General features: G+C 53.6%; 1 protein-coding gene across 8 annotated transcripts in view, besides 5 other annotated features; it reads right to left on the bottom strand.

Moving 5' to 3' along the window:
- The window catches only part of PARVB (parvin beta), a 173,729-nt gene that overhangs the window by 88,135 nt on the left and 66,851 nt on the right, over positions 1-18,743 (bottom strand). Inside the window, exon 1 of one of the 8 annotated variants that reach the window (NM_001243385.2) lies at positions 15,643-15,699. The exons of 5 other annotated variants lie outside the window; for them this stretch is intronic. In NM_001243385.2, the coding sequence (NP_001230314.1) occupies position 15,643 (1 nt within the window). In that variant the 5' untranslated portion in view covers positions 15,644-15,699. Of the gene's footprint in view, positions 1-3,020; positions 3,398-15,642; positions 15,700-18,743 lie in introns of those variants that run through there. 2 more of the 8 variants (XM_024452235.2, XM_047441349.1) reach the window with 2 other exon arrangements.
- Positions 15,289-15,852: an enhancer, noted in NCBI's record as "H3K27ac-H3K4me1 hESC enhancer chr22:44464833-44465396 (GRCh37/hg19 assembly coordinates)". NCBI's record gives its function as "activates a minimal SCP1, AML or CMV promoter by ChIP-STARR-seq in primed H9 embryonic stem cells {active_cell/tissue: H9 hESC(primed)}" and the evidence as "EXISTENCE:reporter gene assay evidence [ECO:0000049][PMID:30033119]".
- Positions 15,885-16,024: an enhancer, noted in NCBI's record as "active region_19206". NCBI's record gives its function as "activates an Ori minimal core promoter by ATAC-STARR-seq in GM12878 lymphoblastoid cells {active_cell/tissue: GM12878}" and the evidence as "EXISTENCE:reporter gene assay evidence [ECO:0000049][PMID:35858748]".
- Positions 16,185-16,334: an enhancer, noted in NCBI's record as "active region_19205". NCBI's record gives its function as "activates an Ori minimal core promoter by ATAC-STARR-seq in GM12878 lymphoblastoid cells {active_cell/tissue: GM12878}" and the evidence as "EXISTENCE:reporter gene assay evidence [ECO:0000049][PMID:35858748]".
- Positions 16,417-16,980: an enhancer, noted in NCBI's record as "H3K27ac-H3K4me1 hESC enhancer chr22:44463705-44464268 (GRCh37/hg19 assembly coordinates)". NCBI's record gives its function as "activates a minimal SCP1, AML or CMV promoter by ChIP-STARR-seq in naive H9 embryonic stem cells {active_cell/tissue: H9 hESC(naive)}" and the evidence as "EXISTENCE:reporter gene assay evidence [ECO:0000049][PMID:30033119]".
- Positions 16,981-17,546: an enhancer, noted in NCBI's record as "H3K27ac-H3K4me1 hESC enhancer chr22:44463139-44463704 (GRCh37/hg19 assembly coordinates)". NCBI's record gives its function as "activates a minimal SCP1, AML or CMV promoter by ChIP-STARR-seq in naive and primed H9 embryonic stem cells {active_cell/tissue: H9 hESC(naive and primed)}" and the evidence as "EXISTENCE:reporter gene assay evidence [ECO:0000049][PMID:30033119]".

The raw sequence follows: 18,743 nt of genomic DNA, 5'->3' as shown, positions 1-18,743 counted from the left end.
ATAGAAATGGCTCTGAGACCCAGAAGGAGTCTCGGGCCTCTCCCGGCAGCACTGGCTGCCTCGGGGGACACAGTGAGCTACCCTGAAGGAGGGAGGAAGCTGGGGAGGGAAAGTCCTGCACGGTCCCATCCCCACAGATGACTGCAGAATAATAACATGACTCTGAGACTATGGGTGACAGCAAAGGCCCTGGCATGAGTGTCTGTGCCAAGAACGCAGCGGAAAGAACCAAGATGCCAGACCTGGGAGTACCCTTGGCAGGCTCACATCTCGTGCCCTATTCTTGGATTGGCCAGTGGGGCTTTCTCACCAGGATGGCCACCTTGGCCCCTGCAAGCCCTGCCCTAAACTCTTCCCACCCCAGCCCAGCCTCTCCCCTTCTGGAGGTGACTGTTATGGACACCATTGCTTTTCTTCTCCAGCATCCATTGATCCTTTCAGGCAAACAAGACTCAGCCTCCCTCAGAGAGAGCCACCCCTCCTGCCACCATGCTCGGGCCTTGTAGTTCAGCTCTGGGGTGGAGCAGGCATCCCAGGACAAAGCCAGCTGGCACACTGGCCTCCCAGGAACACAGTCAGGGATGGGCATGGCCCAGTTAGAGCTAATGAACTGCACTGAGACTTTACCAGGAATAGAGAATGAGACAGGCACTCCTTCCCACTGGCCTTGACCCAGAAAGGATGGAGGTTGAAGCCGTCCCATCATCTTACCACTATACAGAGCCTGGAGATGAAGGCACCAGATCGAAAGAGCTCGGGGAAGGGGAGAACAGAATCTAGGATCTAGCAACACCTTCTATGTGCTGGATCAAGCCTTACCTGAGGCCATCCAACCCCACAGACCATTCTGTCAAATGTACCAGTGAATTCTGTTTTGCTTTTAAGCCATTTTGAGTTGGGTTTTCTGTCCTTTGCAAACCAAGAGAGTCCTGTCTGATGTAGAAATCCTTCCAATACACAAAGCTGGCGTTGGTCACTCCCTGCTGCAGTGCACCCCATGGCTCCCACCAGCTCCAGGGTAAAACGCAAAACCTTCATAGTGGTACCCGATGACTGTTAATGAGCAGACCCCTCCTCTCATCAATACAGCTGCAGTTACCATGCTTCCACACTCATCGTCTGATGAGGCCATTCCAGGCCACTTCTGTAGGTCATATCTCTGCCCCTCTGCTCGACTGTCCCCACAACCTGCAATGCCCTTCACTTCAGGTCAGCTAGCTCCACCCATTTCCCACCGTCTGGAAAGCACACTCTGCACATCCTCTATCCCTGGGTGCAGTTCGGGCCCCTCCTCTGGGTTTCCACAGCTCCCCGTGCACATGACAATGACAAACCCTATTCCCCGATCATGTGATTGTGGACTGTGCTCATCTCCCTGCACCCCCCGACCCCGCAAGGAGTGCACAGGGGCCAGGTCCCATTCATGACCATGGCCTCACATCCTGCATAAAACCCAGCACATGGATAACTGCTCTCTGAATATCTGTGGAATGAATGAATGAATGAACACAAATGCTAAGCTTATGTAGGCCAAATGGAGCTACATAGATAATTTCTACAAGAGAAAGTCAGGGAACTGAACTGACGGCTCTCACACAGCATCCCACCTCCAGCCACTTAATTGGGTGGAAAAAGAGGGTTTCCATTAAGGTTTACATTAGCCTGGCAGTCGTGTTTCACAAGGAACCCAATTACCCTGATGTGGCCACGTAGAGGCTGATGGGCTCAGGAGGAAGGAGTCCGCTCCGCAATTAGGGACTTGCTAGTACAAGCAGCCCAGGAGCCAACATCCCCCCAGCCTCACCTCCTGGGGTGTGCATTCCGACCAGCCACCTGCTGCAGGAATCTGAAATACAGACCACCCCGAGATGGAAGGAGTCCATCTGGCTCAGGGAAACTGGGTCTTCTGAATACGAAAAGTTGCTTACATAGAAATGTAAAAAAAGCTCCGAAGCCCATGTTAAACAGATGATTCCCTTGGCCCAGAAACACGGTCTTTTCTTCCCCTTTGTCCCTGGGGTGATCAGGAAAATGTTAGAACCACAGAAAAATGAATCCTTTGTGGGAAGGAGAACAGGAAGAAAGACTTCCAGGTGCACGGTAAAATGTCAGGTTGGCCGTCTAACCCACCTGGGCGAGAAACCGGGGCATGGAGGGGCCGGTGAGCTTCTTGTCTACAAAGGAGGACACATTCTTTAGAGACAATGATGATCTGATTGGTTTCTCAGACTGAAAGCCACATGAGTCAGTTTTTGTTTTTTGTTTTTTGTTTTTGTTTTTGTTTTTGAGACGGACTCTTGCTCTGTCGCCCAGGCTGGAGTGCAGTGGCTCGATCTTGGCTCACTGCAACCTCCACCTCCCAGATTCAAGCGATTCTCCTGCCTCAGCCTCCTGAGTAGCTGGGATTACAAGTGTGCACCACCACACCCAGCTAATTTTTGTATTTTTAGTACAGATGAGGTTTCACTATGTTGGCCAGGTGGATCTCGAACTCCTGATTTCAAGTGATCCACCTGCCTCGGCCTCCCAAAGTGCTGGGATTACAGGCACGAACCACCGCACCTGGCCAACTTCTTTAATTCCTCCCTTCAATTGCCACCCTTCCGGAGCACGGGAACCTACCGCCCAGTGCCCCCACCTTGCGGTGCACAGTGGGATACACATCCCCAAAGCCAGCCTCCCCCGCCCCAAAAAAGAGCTACCCCATTTGCCTCCCGTTTTCTCGGCCCCTCACCCTCAGCTCCAGTGCCCAGCAGCCACTGCCTCCTGACCACTCTCATCCTAATTCCTTAGCAAGTCCTTCGACGCAAGCCTCTGCCTCTGTGATTTTCAGAGGCTGCGTCTGTCACATTTCTCCAACCCATCACGCTGGCTTTCAGGGGGTACTTCCAAATGATTTCAGTCACTGGTCATGAAATCTGTCATTAGCTAATAATAAGAAGAAAAGAGCCTCGAGGCAGCAGAAGGTGGGGGCAGGGTGTGAAACCCAAAAGAAACAATTCTCAGAAGAGGATGCCAACCTTTCCCCTGGCGTGTGTCACCGTCACCGCCCCTCCGAGCCCAGCCACTTGCCAGCAAGCTGCACAATGAGCCCCACCGAGGCGGGGGGCAATGGAACCCGCTGCTCACTTCCAGCAACAGACGAGCCCCATGAGACTGCCAGGCTCTTAGAGAAACGCACTTCATAAAGGAAAGCAGAAACGGCCGTGCAGAAGCTAAGTCTGGAGAAGCACGTTCGCTGGTTCCCAAGTTGTGAAACTCGTATTAATTAATGTGACTGGTAACGTCCCAATGTATCCAGGGAAGTCCAAAGCGTTGTCTGCTGAGAAAATAAGAAGATTAAATCATTAAGTCGTTAGAAAAAGAAAGGCTTTACTATGCACCTGCCATGGAAACGGGGATGTGGGAAAGGCCAGAAGGACAGTGCCCTCTAGCGGCTGTCTCCCCTGCAGAAGTGACACAGATGCCTCCATGAAAGCTTCCCCCAACAGGAGGACCCGGCCTGCTTCGGAGACAGGCCCCTTCCAAAAGCAGGTGGATTTGGGGAGTGCTGGAAGCCATTGGCCTCTGGTGCTGGCAGCTCAGTTCCCACCTGAGATACTCAAAGAACCACCATGGCACTGCCTTGGGCCCCACCGGGCACAGACAACTCTACCCATCAGGAACAGATGCAATGCCCACAGCAGAAAAGGAGAAAGGCCTTCACGGCCCACAGGGGTCCCCACACCCCTGCTGGAGACTGCACCTTTGGAGGAACAGCCCCAAACAAGGGATGGAGGGATGACGGCAGGTGGAGAGTCACTCCATGACCCCACAAAGCAGGTCAGGTTCCCCACTCCCCGCATCCATTCCCCTTCCTCTCCTTTCGAGGCACTATTAGTCTAAGGCACATCTGTGCTACAGGATTTGCGTCTACAGTGCTCTGAAAGGACAGATGCATGGCCTGCTCTGTCTCCCCTGCTCCCAACATGACGCCTGGACTGAGGCAGGTGCTCCGTGAACACTCGGTGAATTCATGAATGAATGAATCAGGGTTTCGGGACTCTACCATTCTCTCTACTGCAGTGTCTCCTGTAAAAACTCAAAGGATGTACTTTCTACTCCATCTGTCACTGTCTCTATGGAAGGCTGGATCTTGGTCCCTGCAAAGATGTCCACATCAAGTCCCAGGAAACTGTGACTTTGCATGGCAAGAGGGAGTTTGCAGATGTGATTAGGTAAGGACCTTGGGGTGGGAGATTAGCCTGGATTATGCAGGGGGCCCAATGTGATTGACAGGGTCCTTACAAGAGGAAGCAGGAGGGCCAGAGCCAGAGGAGGTGTGGCGAAGGAGACAGAGAAAGATCGGGAGATGGCTTTGAAGACAGAGGAAGAGGCCAGGCACTAAGGAACGCAGGTGCCTCTGCAAGTTGGAAAAGGCAAGGAATGGGATTCTCCCCTGGAGCCTCCGGAAGGAACCGGCCCTGCTGCCACCTTGATGTTGGGACTCCTGACCTCCAGAACTGTAAAATAATAGATTTGTGTTGGTTTAAACCACTGGGTTTGTGGTATTTTGTCACAGCAGCCCTAAGTAAATTAACAGCCTCAAGAGAGCCCCAGCAACTCCACGTAATTTCAAAAAGCCTGGAACATTCTTTGCAGCAGTTTTACTGAGCCCTGCTCCACACCGGGTGCCCCCTGGCACAAGCGTTACTGAAACTGACATGGCTTTGTTCACGCAAGCAGAATGAATATTAAACAAGCACAGAGGACGCATCTGACCAACACTGTGGATAAAATCACAACTGGCCCTAAGGCTGCCGCGGGCCATTCTCCTGTGACACCAAGGTCTGAGGAGGTTGCCTCCTTATTAGCAAATCCGGAACAATGTTTTTTTTGAGAAGGAGTCTTGCTCTGTCCCCCAGGCTGGAGTGCAGTGGCACAATCTCGGCTCACTTCAACCACCACATCCTGGGTTCAAGCGATCCTCCTGCCTCAGCCTCCCAAGTAGCTGGGATTACAGGCGCCCACCACCATGCCCGGCTAATTTTTGTATGTTTAGTAGAGACGGGGTTTCACCATGTTGGCCAGGCTGGTCTCGAACTCCTGACCTCAAGTGATCCACCCACCTCGGCCTCCCAAAGTGTAATGTATTGTTTTCAATGTGCAAAAACAACTGGATGGCCTCACAGTCAGCACGACCTGAAGTCAGTTCTCCACCGGTGGCTTCTCAGAATGGCTTAGCACAGCAGCCGCTGGCTAAAGGGCTGAGTAAGGGGTCAGATTCCCTCACCCTCTGTCCTCCTCAGCCTGGGGATTTAATGGGTTCACAGGAAGTAGCCAGGGATGAGCTAACTGCTTGACGTTTTCAGACACAGCTGTGTCCCACAAACCTTGCTGTTCCTTGAGCCTGTGTCTCCTCTTTGTCCCCAAGAACACGTGACACAGATGGCTTCTCGATCCTGCTACTGTCCCTCCAATTACTGGCCTACCAGGTTCTCAGGCTGGAGCCCGGGCATTTTCAAACACAAGGATGGTGCACTAGCTCTTCTGCATGGACGTCATTCAAGTCACTAAAAACGGTGAATATCAGCCCAGATGTCAGCACCATCAGCCTCCTGGACCAAGCACACCCATCTATGGTGGACCAAGCACCAGGAGCACACCAGCAGGCTGGCAAAGAAGAGGACACACATTGCGGGAAACGTTGAGTGCTCAGTGAATTCATGAACGACTGAATCAGGGTTTGAGGACTCTACCATTCTCTCTACTGCAGTGTCTCTTGTAAAAACTCACAGGGGCCGGGCGCGGTGGCTCACGCCTGTTATCCCAGCACTTTGGGAGGCCGAGGCGGGTGGATCACCTTAGGTCAAGAGTTTGAGACCAGCCTGGCCAACATGGTAAAACCTCATCTCTATTAAAAATACAAAAAAATTAGCTGCACTTGGTGGTCTGCGCCTGTAATCCTAGTTACTTGGGAGGCTGAGGCAGGAGAATCGCTTGAACCCAGGAGTCAGAGGCTGCAGTGAGCTGAGATCTCGCCATTGCACTCCAGCCTGGGCGACAGAGTGAGACTCCATCTTAAATAAATAAATACTCAAAGGACCTATATTCTACTCCATCTGTCACTGCCTCTATGGAAGGCTGGATCATGGTCCCTGCAAAGATGTTCACATCAAGTCCCAGGAACCTGTGACTTCACATGGCAAGAGGGGGACTTTGTAGATGTGATTAGGTAAGGACCTTGGGGTGGGAGATTAGCCTGGTTATTCAGGGGGCCCGATGTGATTGACAGGGTCCTTACAAGAGGAAGCAGGAGGACCAGAGCCTTTTACTAGGTCCAGATACCTCCCTTACCACTTCCCCCATGCCTGCCCCGACATGGTAACCCTGGCCAGGAAAAGGTCAGGATGGTGGCAGAGAAGAGGGGAACTCAGTCCATGCTGTGGATTTAATTGTGTCCCCCTGAAAAAGATATGCTGGAGTTAGGCAGGTCCGGGTCTAACCACTCATCTGGGTGTGTGGCCTTGGGAAAGTTCACATCTCCAAGTGCCAATTCCAACATCAGTAAAAACAGTGACACAACCTTAAGTGAGGACTTCTCTGGAAGAGGGAGAGACAGACACACTGTGTCCAGCCAGTTCAACACAGTAGCTTGCCTGAGCTAAGGATGCAAACAGAGCTCACAGGACATGTGACAAGGACCCACGCTGTGAGCTTGGGGCTCCAAATTCAGGCTCCTTCCACCACACGGCTCTGCAAATGGCCCCCTGTCCTCAAGGGACCTGGTGTCTCTATCATGTCACCAAGCCCAACTGTTTCCCTAGCTGTAAAGAGTAATATCCCCTGCCTACAATCCCAGCACTTCGGGAGGCTGAGGTGGGCGGATCACTTGAGGTCAGGAGTTCGAAACCAGCCTGGCCAACATGGTGAAAACCCGTCTCAACTAAAAACACAAAAATTAGCCGAGTGTCATGGTAGGTGCCTGTAATACCAGCTACTCGGGAGGCTGAGGCAGGAGAATCGCTAGAACCATTGCACACCAGCCTGGATGACAGAATGAGACACTGTCTCAGAAGAAAAAAAAAGAGTAACTATCCCCCTCCAATATCATTGCTAAGGTTTAAAGTCACATGTGGGCAATGACGTGTGGTTCTCCAATCCCCTGCAGAGCTTCCCACCTCCCCGGCACCCACCTGGCGACTCCCCGTCACATCCTGGCCAGGACTCGTAAGCCAACTTCACCCTTATCGGTGTTGTCTGGCGGTCTGGAAGAAGATAGGTCTGGGGATCTGGAAGACCTCACTGTGTGCTGTGTATTGCACTGTATCTCCCCTAAAAGGCACACTGGAGTCTGGCCCCCAACACCTGTGACTGTGGCCTTATTTGGAAGCAGGGTCTTTGCAGATGTAATCAAGTTGCAGATTCGGTCATTAGGGTGGGCCCTAATCCAATGACAGGCGTCCTTACAAGAAGAGGAGAGGACAGAGACACAGACGGAGAAGGAGGCCCACGTGAAGAGGGAGACAGAGGCTGGAGTGATGTGGCCCACGGCAGGGAACACCAGAGCCACCACAGCCTGGAAGAGGCCAAGGGGGATCCTCTCGGAGCCCTGGAGGGAGCACAGCCCAGCTGACACCTTGATCTTGGACTTCCAGCCTCCAAAACTGTGACAGACTATGTTTCTGTTGTTTAAGCCACTCAGGTTGTGGTGCTTTGTTACAGTGGCCCCAGGACACTAGCACACCCCATGCTGCCCCAGGGCAGGCCCGGTTGCACCTGCTGCTTGGCCCCGGGCAGGCACAGGACCCATACTCAAGAGTGTCAACCAAAGGGGGACCCAGGCCACACATCATGTGATATTCTGATCATAATTCGACTTCCAGCCAAGCTGGTATCAGACAGGATGTGCCCAACATTCCGGCGCACACCTCAGCGAGCCACATACCGAGGGCTGGGGAGGGGGCACAGGACCCAGCCCCAGCCCCCAGCCTGTGGGCACTCTCCCTAGGGTGCAGGGGAGTTGGGGCAGGCCACCTCCTCCATGGGACACAGCAGCATGTTTCTGGCCCTCAGCATCTCACCTGAGAAAGGGGCAGGCACCCTGGCTTATCTATCTCACGGTGGGCAGATGCCCCATGAATCTAGAGGAGGGTGCACAGAGACCCAGGACCCAGGCACGCCTATAAACAACTCGTGCTCCCTGCACCACGAGGCATACACTGCTCCTGCCATTGCCCTTCAAAACACACCCCACGCACAGCTGCATGTGGTCTTGAAGAACTGTGTATTTGTGGAAAAACTTCCTGCTATGTTGAGGCTGGGCTCTGTATCTTACCAGAACCCCTGGGCTGCACCCTCCGGAGGGAAGAGCCTGTCTCTAGGCCTGAAAGATCAGAGAGGAGAACGGATTTCTGAGGAGAACGAATTTCTGGCAGGGGAGGACTGGGGCCACTGTGGGGACCGGGCTTACAAGACAGAGGACTAGAAAGAGGACACAGGGCTGCGGGTGGCCGCCCTTTCACCATTCCTAGAGGTGACAGTCTCTACAAGGACAGGCATCCCCCAAATCAGCGGCCATGGAGTCCACGACTCAGCTGCCATGGGGCCCCCAACTCAGCTGCTGTGGAGCCACTCTTTCTGAGAGGGCCACCTCATGGAGAAACTCACAACAGGCCTAGCATTGAGGGGCTGAGCGCTCTGGCCTCCACAGACCAGCCCTGGGTTGAGGCAGGCGGTCCTCCTTCCAGACACTCCCAAGTCCCGGCCCCACCTGCCCCCTTCAGCATCCTCTCCTGCTTTGCGCTCCAGGTCCCCTGCCCCACGGCCATCAGTTTAGACAATGCACAGGCCTAGGCCAGGTGCAGTCAGAGAGCTCCAACCTCAGGGCAGGGGCCTGGGCTCTGATCCCAGCTCGACTGCTCCATCCCAACTCCACAGCACCTGGGCTATACATCTGCAGCAAGAGCAGCGGATCCTCTGGGAGGCAAACAGGGAACAAATGGATCCGTCCAGACAATGCAGAAAGAGCCACTTGGAACCAAGAAGAAACGCGCCGTCAGCTGTGAAAAGGCGTGGAGGAAACTTAAATGCATCTCACTGAGTGAAAAACCAGTCTGAAAAGGCTGCAGACAGTGTGATCCCAACTGCACGACCCTGTGGGGCAGGCAAAACTACGGAGACAGTGAAAGGAGCAGAGGTTGCCAGGAGTGAGAGGGAGACAGGGATGAGCAGGTGGGGCACGGGGATCTCAGGGCAGTGTCACTGCTACCATGGGGGTCCCTGTCCTTACACAATGTCCAGCACCAAGAGGGGCCCCTCATGGAAACTGTGGACTCTGGGTGACCCTGATATGGCCATGTGGGTCCACCAGGTACCACAGATGCACCCTCTGGTCTGGACGTTGTTAGAGGGGGAGGATGTTGATAGTGTGCGTGGTGGGGCCGTGCAGTCACGGGAAATCTCTGCACCTTCCACTCAATTCTGCTGTGAACTTAAAAGTGCTCTAAAAATAGTCTAGTCCCTTCAGGGTCACTGCGGGTGCATGCATGAACATGTGTGCATATGAGTGAGTGTATGCATGCGTGCATGTGCGTGCGTGTTTGTGTGTGTCCCAGGCAGGCATCCATGTCTCCAGGGCCCAGGGCCTTCCCTTCCTTCACCACCTGCTTCCGGGGAGCCTCTCAGCTCAGCGGATCTCAACTGGGGACGATTCCTCCACCCCCACACTGGGAGGGTACGTAGTGGCATCTGGAGACACTTTGGGTTGTCACAACTGACACCTCGTGTGTAGAGGCCAGGGATGCCGCTCAACACCCCGCAATGCTCAGGAGAGCTCCACAACCAAGAATCCTCAGTGTTGAGGCTGGGAAGCCCCGTCCCCACCGACTCAGGAGTCCCAGGAGCTCCCAGAGCCCACTGGGCTCCTCCGTCCTCTGCTTCCTCACCTAGTGCAGACATGAGGTGGGGTGGAGGGAAGGGCCCAGGGGCAGGGGATGACTCCATTGTCTTGGCTGTTGCACTGCGTGCTGGCACACCACACGGCCACGCTCTAACTGCCCCCCACGCCCACACTGGCCTGGCCTGGGACTGCCGTGGGCAGCTGGGAAGCTGAGGGAGGGGCAGTGAACATTGTCTAATGTTCCCCACCCCACTCCCCTCCTCTTCTCAGGGATGGTGGGGCTCCTCCTCTACTAATTCTGCCCCACAGGCCAGGGTCAGCCTGCCCTGCTCCTCACTCCCAGGGCTGTGAAAAGCTCAGCAGCTTGCCTGAAGCCCTGGCCTCCCACCTAGGGTTGCCATGGAAACAGGGCATCCTCCCTCCCCAAGGAAGCATCCGAGGGTGGCACTAGGCTCTGGCTGGGTGTGATCTCCAGATACCAGTGACAGCGGGGCCATGCAGGGATGGCCAGACCAGCCAAGCATGTAGCCAGCATCCTGTGTGGCCTGGGCAGCTGCTGCCAGGAGGCGCCACTAGCCAGAGCCCAGGAGACATGGTACTAAGGCAGGGGTCTCCTGTCAGTGTTGCTCACCCAGGCCGTCGTGCAGGCAACAGAACCGATCAGGGGCTCAGAAATGCCAGGGCTCACTGGCACGACAGGCTTCTGCCCATGCCCCCGTCTCTCTGCTGGGAGCCTTGGCCAGCCTCAGAGGACCACTCCTCCTCTGGTTTCCAGAGACCCCTTCCAGGACCCCCACTCACACACCCCTGGCTCCTGCCTCAGAGTCGGCCATTCTGTTATCTTATGTTTTCATAAACTGTCTTCAACCCGAACAGAGGATCCCAAAGAAGGGTCCTCGTCAGCATCCTCAGAGCCCAGCCAGCAGCCTGCCCCACGGCGGGTCCTCGGTAGGTGTCCACCAAATGGCTGCACAAAATACACACCATAATCACACCTCCTCCAGTGCTGCGGATTAAATGAGGGAGTGTAAAAATGGCAATCATGCTCGCTCATCTGTTTTGAGGATCTCCTGTGTGCAGGCCAGCTGCCGAGCCCACCACAGACCCAGTGTGGGAAAAGCAGGTGGCCCCAGAGCTGGTCCCAGAACCGCTGCCTTGGCCTACCTGCTTCTCCCTTTCAGAGGGAAGTGCTTCTGGGGTCTCCTCTGCTTTCTCCAAGCAATGAATGCTTCTGCTCAAGCACAACCCAAAATTCAAAGGGGGGCAAGCGGGCCCCACCTCCTCAGCTACACAGAAATTTCTGCATCTGAAGATCAGGACAGTGACACCTTTCATCTCTCGGTTCCCTTTATTTGGCATTGGTATTCGAGACGTTTAAGAGTCAGGAGCTGGAAAAGCAGGTATGGTCGTATTCATTCACTTCTTTTTTTTGAGACTGACTCTCACTCTGTCGCCCAGGCTAGAGTGTAATGGCGCGACCTCCGCTCACCGCAACCTCTGCCTCCTGGGTTCAAGTGATTCTCCTGCCTCAGCTTCCAGAGTAGCTGGGATTACAAGCATGCACCGCCACGCCCAGCTAAATTTTGTTATTTTTAATAGAGACGGGTTTCGCTATGTTGGCCAGGCTGGCTGGTCTCGAACCCCTGACCTCCGGTGATCCGCCCGCCTCAGCCTCCCAAAGTGCTAGCATTATAGGTGTGAGCCATTGTGCCCAGCCCACTTCTGACTTTAAATTTCCTCCACTTAAAGAAGTCTGGTTTTTTATACAATTATTCTAGTATAATTTGATAAGATTGGGCCTAGTTTGCATTTGTTCATTCACTCATTGAACAACTGCTTAGTGACATCCACTATGGTCAGGCCTGGCACGGGGCACTGGGTGGGCCACAGGGGGACTTAGATACAGGCCCTGCTCTGAGGGCTCCAGCACCCAGGAGACACATAAGGGAGGTATGTGAGAAGGCTGGGGGCTCAGGAGGGAGTGTAGTAGTCCAGAGAGGCTTCCTGGAGCTGAGTCTTGAAGGAGTTTGCCCTGCAGGGTGAAGAAAGAGAGTTCCAGTCCTTTATCCCTACATCCCTAGTAGGTAGGGGACTTATTCATGACGGAAACTTGTTCCTTTCTTCTGGGCTATCCTGTAGCAGGAAGATGTCTAATAAGGCACAAAAAGAAAGGGTGACTCTGGGCCAGGCGCGATGGTTCACACCTGTAATCCCAGCAACTTTGGGAGGCCAAGGTGGGTGGATGACTTGAGGTCAGGAGTTCGAGACAAGTCTGGCCAACATGGTGAAGCCCCCGTCTCCATTAAAAATACAAAAATTAGCTAGGCATGATGGCATGCACTTGTAATCCCAGCTACTCGGGAGGCTAAGGCAGGAGAATCGCTTGAACCCGGGAGATGGAGGTTGCGGTGAGATGAGATCACGCCACTGCACTCCAGCCTGGGCAACAGGGCAAGACTCCATCTCAAAAAACCAACCAAACAAAAAAGAGTGACTCTGAAGTCCTGAGGGCAAACTGTCGGCTCTTCCTTCTCCAGTCCCCTTCCCTTGTCCTATCTGATGCCCAACTTGAAATTTACCAACCCAAAAGGGTGGTGAGAGGGGGCCTGTGAGGTGGGGACAGAGACTCGGGGACTCAGCTCCACAGGGCACAGAAACTATCTTTCAGGGGCCTCATGATGAGCTCGCTCAGCCTCCCAATAGCCCGGAAAGGGGGACAGGGTAGGGAGGGTTCTACAGATCTGGAAACAATGGCTCACACAGCAAGGACTTGCCAAGGAAAAGCAGCTCCACATGACATTCACATTACAACTGACTCCGTTCAATTACAAAGTCCTTTCCACCCAACGACAGACGTGGGGCAGTCACAGACGCTTGAGAAACCTTCAAACGTTTTCATGGTCTCAGATCCCACTGGTAGAGAGCGAGGGAGGGAGGGAAGGAGGGTGTTAGAATCCAAGCCAGCAACTGGCAGAGACGCAGAAGAGGCCGCCCAGCTGCGCCTCCCTTCCTGGGTCCTGGCTTTGGGCCAGGCATGGACGCCTACAGGGGTTCTCAGCAATCAGGGTATGGGTTACCCCGATTATTGCCATTTTACTGACAAGGAAAGTAGATCTTGGGAAAGTCAAGGTCCCATAACTAGTAAAATACGGAGCTAGGATGTGATTCCTCCTTGTTTAGTTAAGAATTCAAAATAAACACCCATCACTAATCAGCCCAATCATGACTTCCAGGTCCTCAACTGCAACAGAGGACACGAAGTTTGGAAGGAGGTGACAAACTCAGGGTGAGGACAGGGATTCCAGTCAGGGCCTCTAGGAGCATAGGTGGTGGCTGGGAGGTTATCAATAGGCCACAGCGGGTGGAGGATGGGTAGCCCACAATGGAGGGGGTGATCCCAATGAGGTCCTCAAGCATTCAGAGCCTGGGGACCCCTTTTCTAAAAGAAAACTTAGCAGACCTCCTCCTTTCGTGGGTGGCTGTACTTTCAGACAGAGAAAAACACATTCAGCACAGCTTTTCAATTCGTTTGCATTTTAGGAAGCCCAGTGGATCCTGAGCAAAACTGAAGAAGTGGAGGATATATGAGCAGGACACCTATTTGGTCTCCATCAGTATCTCCCAAAGTGAGTCCTGCAGTTTAGACGTTCACAGGTCACACATGAATCAAGCAAAGGTCAAGGAGGTGGAGGAGTCGTGAAGTTAAGGGAAGCTAAGCAGGTGTCTTTTCCTACCGGACTTCTCAGAGTCTTGACTCTGCTAATGTACTGTGAGATTCTCCAAGGGGAGGGGACAGAGCGCTCAGTATCTGTTCCCCCACACCCCACACTGGCCCCAGGATGCTCTCTGGGAAATGTCGCTGGAGTGATACTGGGCTCCAGGACCCCTTTCACAGTGACTCCTACCCCACCAGGCCAAGGCGGGCGGGCAGGGGCCGGGGGGTCCTGGTCTGGGGTCTAGGGCAGGGGCCCTGTGACTACTAGGAACCACTGACTTCGAATAAGCCTGGCAAGGTTCTAGCCTCAAGGGTTAAAATCTGACACACCTGAGTGAAGAGAATCTGGTACCTTGGTTAGAAACAGCAAGGTGAGCAAAGTCCCGCACAGGTCCCAGGAGGTGCGGGCAGGGTCTACCCTCCTCCAGCCGCCAAGCCCCATCCACCCCATCCCGCCCAGCACTGTGCAGGAAAAGCACTCTGTGCGCAATCACCTTTTTGCCTTTTATTGCAAGGTCTATTGTCCCTGAAGAGCCTCATATAATGTGAGCTAAGAGATGCCCAGCATTCAATTTCATTATGCCCCTCCTTCCACCTCTGGTTTCTCCTCTAGAAATATCCCCACACATCTACAAAAAGCCTGTGAAAAAGATGCAGAACATCAAAGGCAAAAATCAGCCTGGGAGCTCCTCCAGGAAACAGCTCCTATCTTGTTCATCTGCGTCCCAGGCACAGCGTCCCTCTCCTTAAGGATACCCAGGCAGAGCTCAGAAAAAAATGTGCATTCTTTATTCCACAAAAGTGGGGAAGGAGCATTTACCAGGAGTTTGCTTGGTATCAGAAACAAAGGAGAATGTGAATAACTGTCATCTTACTGGGTCCCCTAGCAGGGCCCAGGGAGGCGGCCTTCAAGCTGAGGTTGAGAGCACTGACTAGGGAGCCAGGCTGTTGGGTACACTCCTGACTCCCATTCCGATCTGCGGTGTGACCTTGGGCAGGTTACTTAACCTCTCTGGGCTTCAGCTTACTCAACTGTAAAAGAAAACTTTTTAGGAGGATAGCACTGAGCAAAGCACGTTAAGGAGCTGGGATAGTCCCTGGGATGCAGAAAGCCCAGGACACATCAGCTCTACTGTTGTTCCCATTTCACAGGAGGAAAAATCGAACATAGGGCAGCCTGGCCGACCGTCACGATGGGCGCTAATAACAGCAAGGCTGGGCTCACTCCCAGGCATGCCCAGTGCAAAGCACCTTCTACTGACTCTGCCTCCCAAAGACAAGACAGAATATCTAGTGGTGACCAGGGGAAAGCCAGGCACCGGCCACGATCAGCTACTTAGAGGGGAAACACAGAACCGAAGACCACTAACGAGAAACCCATGGCCGGGCGCGGTGGCTCATGCCTGTAATCCCAGCATTTTGGGAGGCCGAGGTGGGTGGATCACCTGAGGTCAGGAGTTCAAGACCAGCCTGGCCAACATGATGAAACCCCGTCTCTACTAAAAATACAAAAATTAGCCAGGCGCGGTGGCGGGAGCCTGTAATCCCAGCTACTTGGGAGGCTGAGGCAGGAGGATCACTTGAACCTGGGAGGCAGAGGTTGCAGTGAGCCAAGATCGCGCCATTGCACTCCAGCCTGGGTGACAAGAGCAAGACTCCATCTCAGAGAGAAAAAAAAAAGACAGAGAGAGAGAAACCCACAGTATCAGGTACCCCTATGAAAAAGAAAATCTTAATTGCAGCATGTGCCTGAGAATGTTCCAAATCCCATTCTTCTGGGCCCAATGATCTACTCGCCCCCAGCAGAGTGCTGGAAATTTCACTCCACAAGTCAGACCCTCATCCCTCTGGGGCCGCAGTGAGACAACCTGGACCCCCTTGCCCATCGTCCTAACACCAACGTCCCCATCACCTTCCTGGGAAAAGTCAAGCAGCCACCCAGGGTCCATTCTTGCAAAACAAAATTCTGCCATAAAGCAGAAAAGAAAAGAAGGGCTGGCCTGGGTTTAGCTCCTGCTGAAAATGATACGAAAGCAACAGAACTCACTGGCGAGGAGGGTGCAGCTGGCGGCAGCTCTGCAGACCAGCACAGCCGGCGGACGTCGGAGGGCAGGCGGGCACACACCCCGTTCATATAGGGACGTGGCAGGGGCGCCACTATGACTTGCACTTCAAGGGAAAGCCTCTTTGGGGAGCCTTTGAGGAAGGTCACAGAGGGTCAGGCTGTGGAAGGACCGGGGTGTTTCCAGCGATAGCTCCTTGCTGACCACAGACCACTATTTCTGTCTTGACTCCCATCAGCCTCATGGGCCAGGGCAACTGCTCCCCAGGAAAACCCCCATGCACAAAGAAGGAAGGAAGGGCGCGCCCAGGCCCCTGGGCTGACTGAAGATGCACGTGGCTCAGAGCTAAACTGAACAACAGACATTGGCCTCCCACTGCCTTTGCTCTCTGGGCCCTGAGACAGGAGAAGTGATTGGGGGTCTGCAAGCTGGCACGGAGCTGGGTCTCCTCTGCCTGACCCCCGGCAAGAGGTGGCACCACTGTGGGCACGTGCCACCCCAGCTGCATCTCCCGTGTGCCGACTACGTCAGGAGGACCAAATGCTAACACATGGAACACTTGCCACCCCGTTTCCACGACAACAGAAATCAAATATCGGACACAGAAAGAAGAAGCTGAGGCTGCCCCGACACGGAGGCGGCAGGCTGCTCTCGGGAGCACTCACTTCCCCAAAGGAAGGTCCTTGAATGAGGGGAGAAGTAGGACTCGCATGATACCTACCTTGGCCGGCAACTTGCTCCCCCTTTCCTCGGCCTGAACCCTCTCCTGGTTTATAACACCAGGCCCAGCCCCTCCCTACCAGGTGACACAGGCGGGCTCTCTGTCTGGTCTGGGTTCCTCGTCGGTAAAAAGGGGTTATTAACAATGACCAGCCTCATGTGCTGCTGTGGGAATCCACAAATTTCAGTGGTTCCTGGCATCCAGGAAGCACGATTAGCTTTTATTTATTCCAATTACCAGTCCCCCAACTCCCTGTGGAAGCTCTTTCCTGAGGCTGGCTTCCTGGAGGTGTTGCTCGATTAACTGACAATCCCAGTTCTGCTGAAGCAGGAAGCGGTGAGGCCCACGGGAGGCCCATGTCCCGACCCAGCAGGTGCTCCAGGCGGGGCTCTGGGGCAGGCAGTGGACTGGGACATGCCTGGCCCACTCCCAGGGGCACTAGTGCCCCTCTCCCATTCGAGGCCAGGATCAACAGTGAGGGCTCACCCGCCGGTCACCCCTGTCCCCCAACACTCCACTCCCACGGCACAAACCAAGCTTCATCCAGAGTCAAAACTAGGACTTGAGGAAGCAACAAAAAGACACCCAATGCCGATGCGAGTCCCCAGCACTAATGCAGGTCCCCAGGGCTAATCCAGGTCCCCAATGCTGATCCAGGTCCCCAGCACTGATGTGGTCCCCAGCTCTGATGCAGTTCCCAACACTGGTTTTGGTTTAACAGTTTTCCTGCTGGGAGACTTGATGCAGGAATCCAAGGCCAGGACAGCAAACAGCACTTCATGGCCCAGGAGATGCCTCGACAGCCAAGTGAGGACATCATGAGGGCACAGACAGGAAGGCCCTCGCCAGCCCAGTGCTCCATGGAGAGGGCCTTTCCATCTGCCCAGTGTCCAGTGCCACCCACGAAGGAAGGCTGGGGCAAGGGAGGGTCTTCCTGACGTGTGTGTATCCACTGAGCTGGCCAAGGAGATGCCTGGGGCTGGTGGTCAGCCCCTTGGGGGAGGAGGCAGAAATAACAGAGGATCAGTCAGGAAAGGAAATGTGATTAGCTTTTAAAAGGAAAATAACTACGCACTTGAAAAATCATAAAAGGATCAGCAGCCTAGTAGTCACATCTTAGAGTCAGGTTTAGACCACTTCAATGTAATGCAACTAACTAACATTTCATTCACTCACCCTGTATGCATCGACTGCCTCCTACCTGCCAGGCAAGGGGATTTCACAATGCAAGCAAGGCAGCCAAGACCCAGCTCCTGACACGCCATTTTCAGAATAAATTAAAGGGGCCTGGCACAGTGGTTCACACCTGTACTCCCAGCACATTGGGAGGCCAAGGCAGGAGGACCGCTCGAGCCCAGGAGTTGGAGACCAGCCTAAGCAACATAGTGAGACCCTGTCTCTACAAAAACTTAGCCAGATACAATGGCACATACCTGTAGTTCCAGTTATTCAGGAGGCTGAGGCAGGAGGATCACTTGAGCCTATGACCATCCCACTGCACTCTAGCCTGGGCAACAGAGTGAGACCCTGCCTAAGAAGAAGAAAAAGAAAGAAGAAAGAAGAAAAAAAAGGAAGAAGAAGAGAGGAGGAGATGGAGGAGGAAGAGGAGGAGGAGGAGGAGGAGGAGGAGGAGGAGGAGGAGGAGAAATAATTAAGGGACTGATGTCATCATTTCATTTGATTCTCATCAAGGCCCCATAAGGCAAGCAAGAAAGAACCCTTATGATCATCCCTATCTAACAGATGAGGAAACGGAGGCAGTGAGTGGTCGACAGGCTGTTGAAGGTCTTATACAGGGTGCGTATCAGGATCTCAACTCAGATGTGTGCCGTGCACCTACTGTGTGCCAGGCATCACTCAAGCCTGGGGTGCCAAGGTGAGAAACACTGCAGCCCTGCCTTCAAGCTATCAAAGTGGGAGAAAAGTCAATACATGCATAAATACAAGGTATGGGGATGATGGGTGGGGAGGCACCCCTTGTTAAGATAATTAAGACTGAGCCAAACGTAAGTTACAACCTTAGAGGCAGGTCATATCCTTTTCAATATAACCCATTAAAAGCCAGAGAAGTACAGATTCGACTTTTTGCTAAAATATTTCTGCCTGAGTTCTAAGGGGCTCACAGGGAGAAAGGCCCTTCAGTATCCCCCGGCTCTGCTTCTGTTTGAATTGGGCCCTTCACTGGCCATCACTAAAAACAAAGCACTCAGTTGAAAGACAAAGTATTTCAGAAAAACGGTAACTTGGATGGTGACTTTTAAGAAGTGGTAGATTCCACCATAGCCACCCACCTGGTACACAGTAGGCGCTCAATAGATGTTTGCTGTAGCGCCACTCTCATTCCTTTTTAGCAGCTTTTAAGAA

The sequence above is a fragment of the Homo sapiens genome, chromosome 22 (genome assembly GCF_000001405.40).
Source record: "Homo sapiens chromosome 22, GRCh38.p14 Primary Assembly".
Classification (NCBI taxonomy): Eukaryota; Metazoa; Chordata; class Mammalia; order Primates; family Hominidae; genus Homo; species Homo sapiens.
The sequence above is the reverse complement of the archived record's forward strand: the minus strand, read 5'-3'. Positions and strand labels throughout refer to the sequence as shown.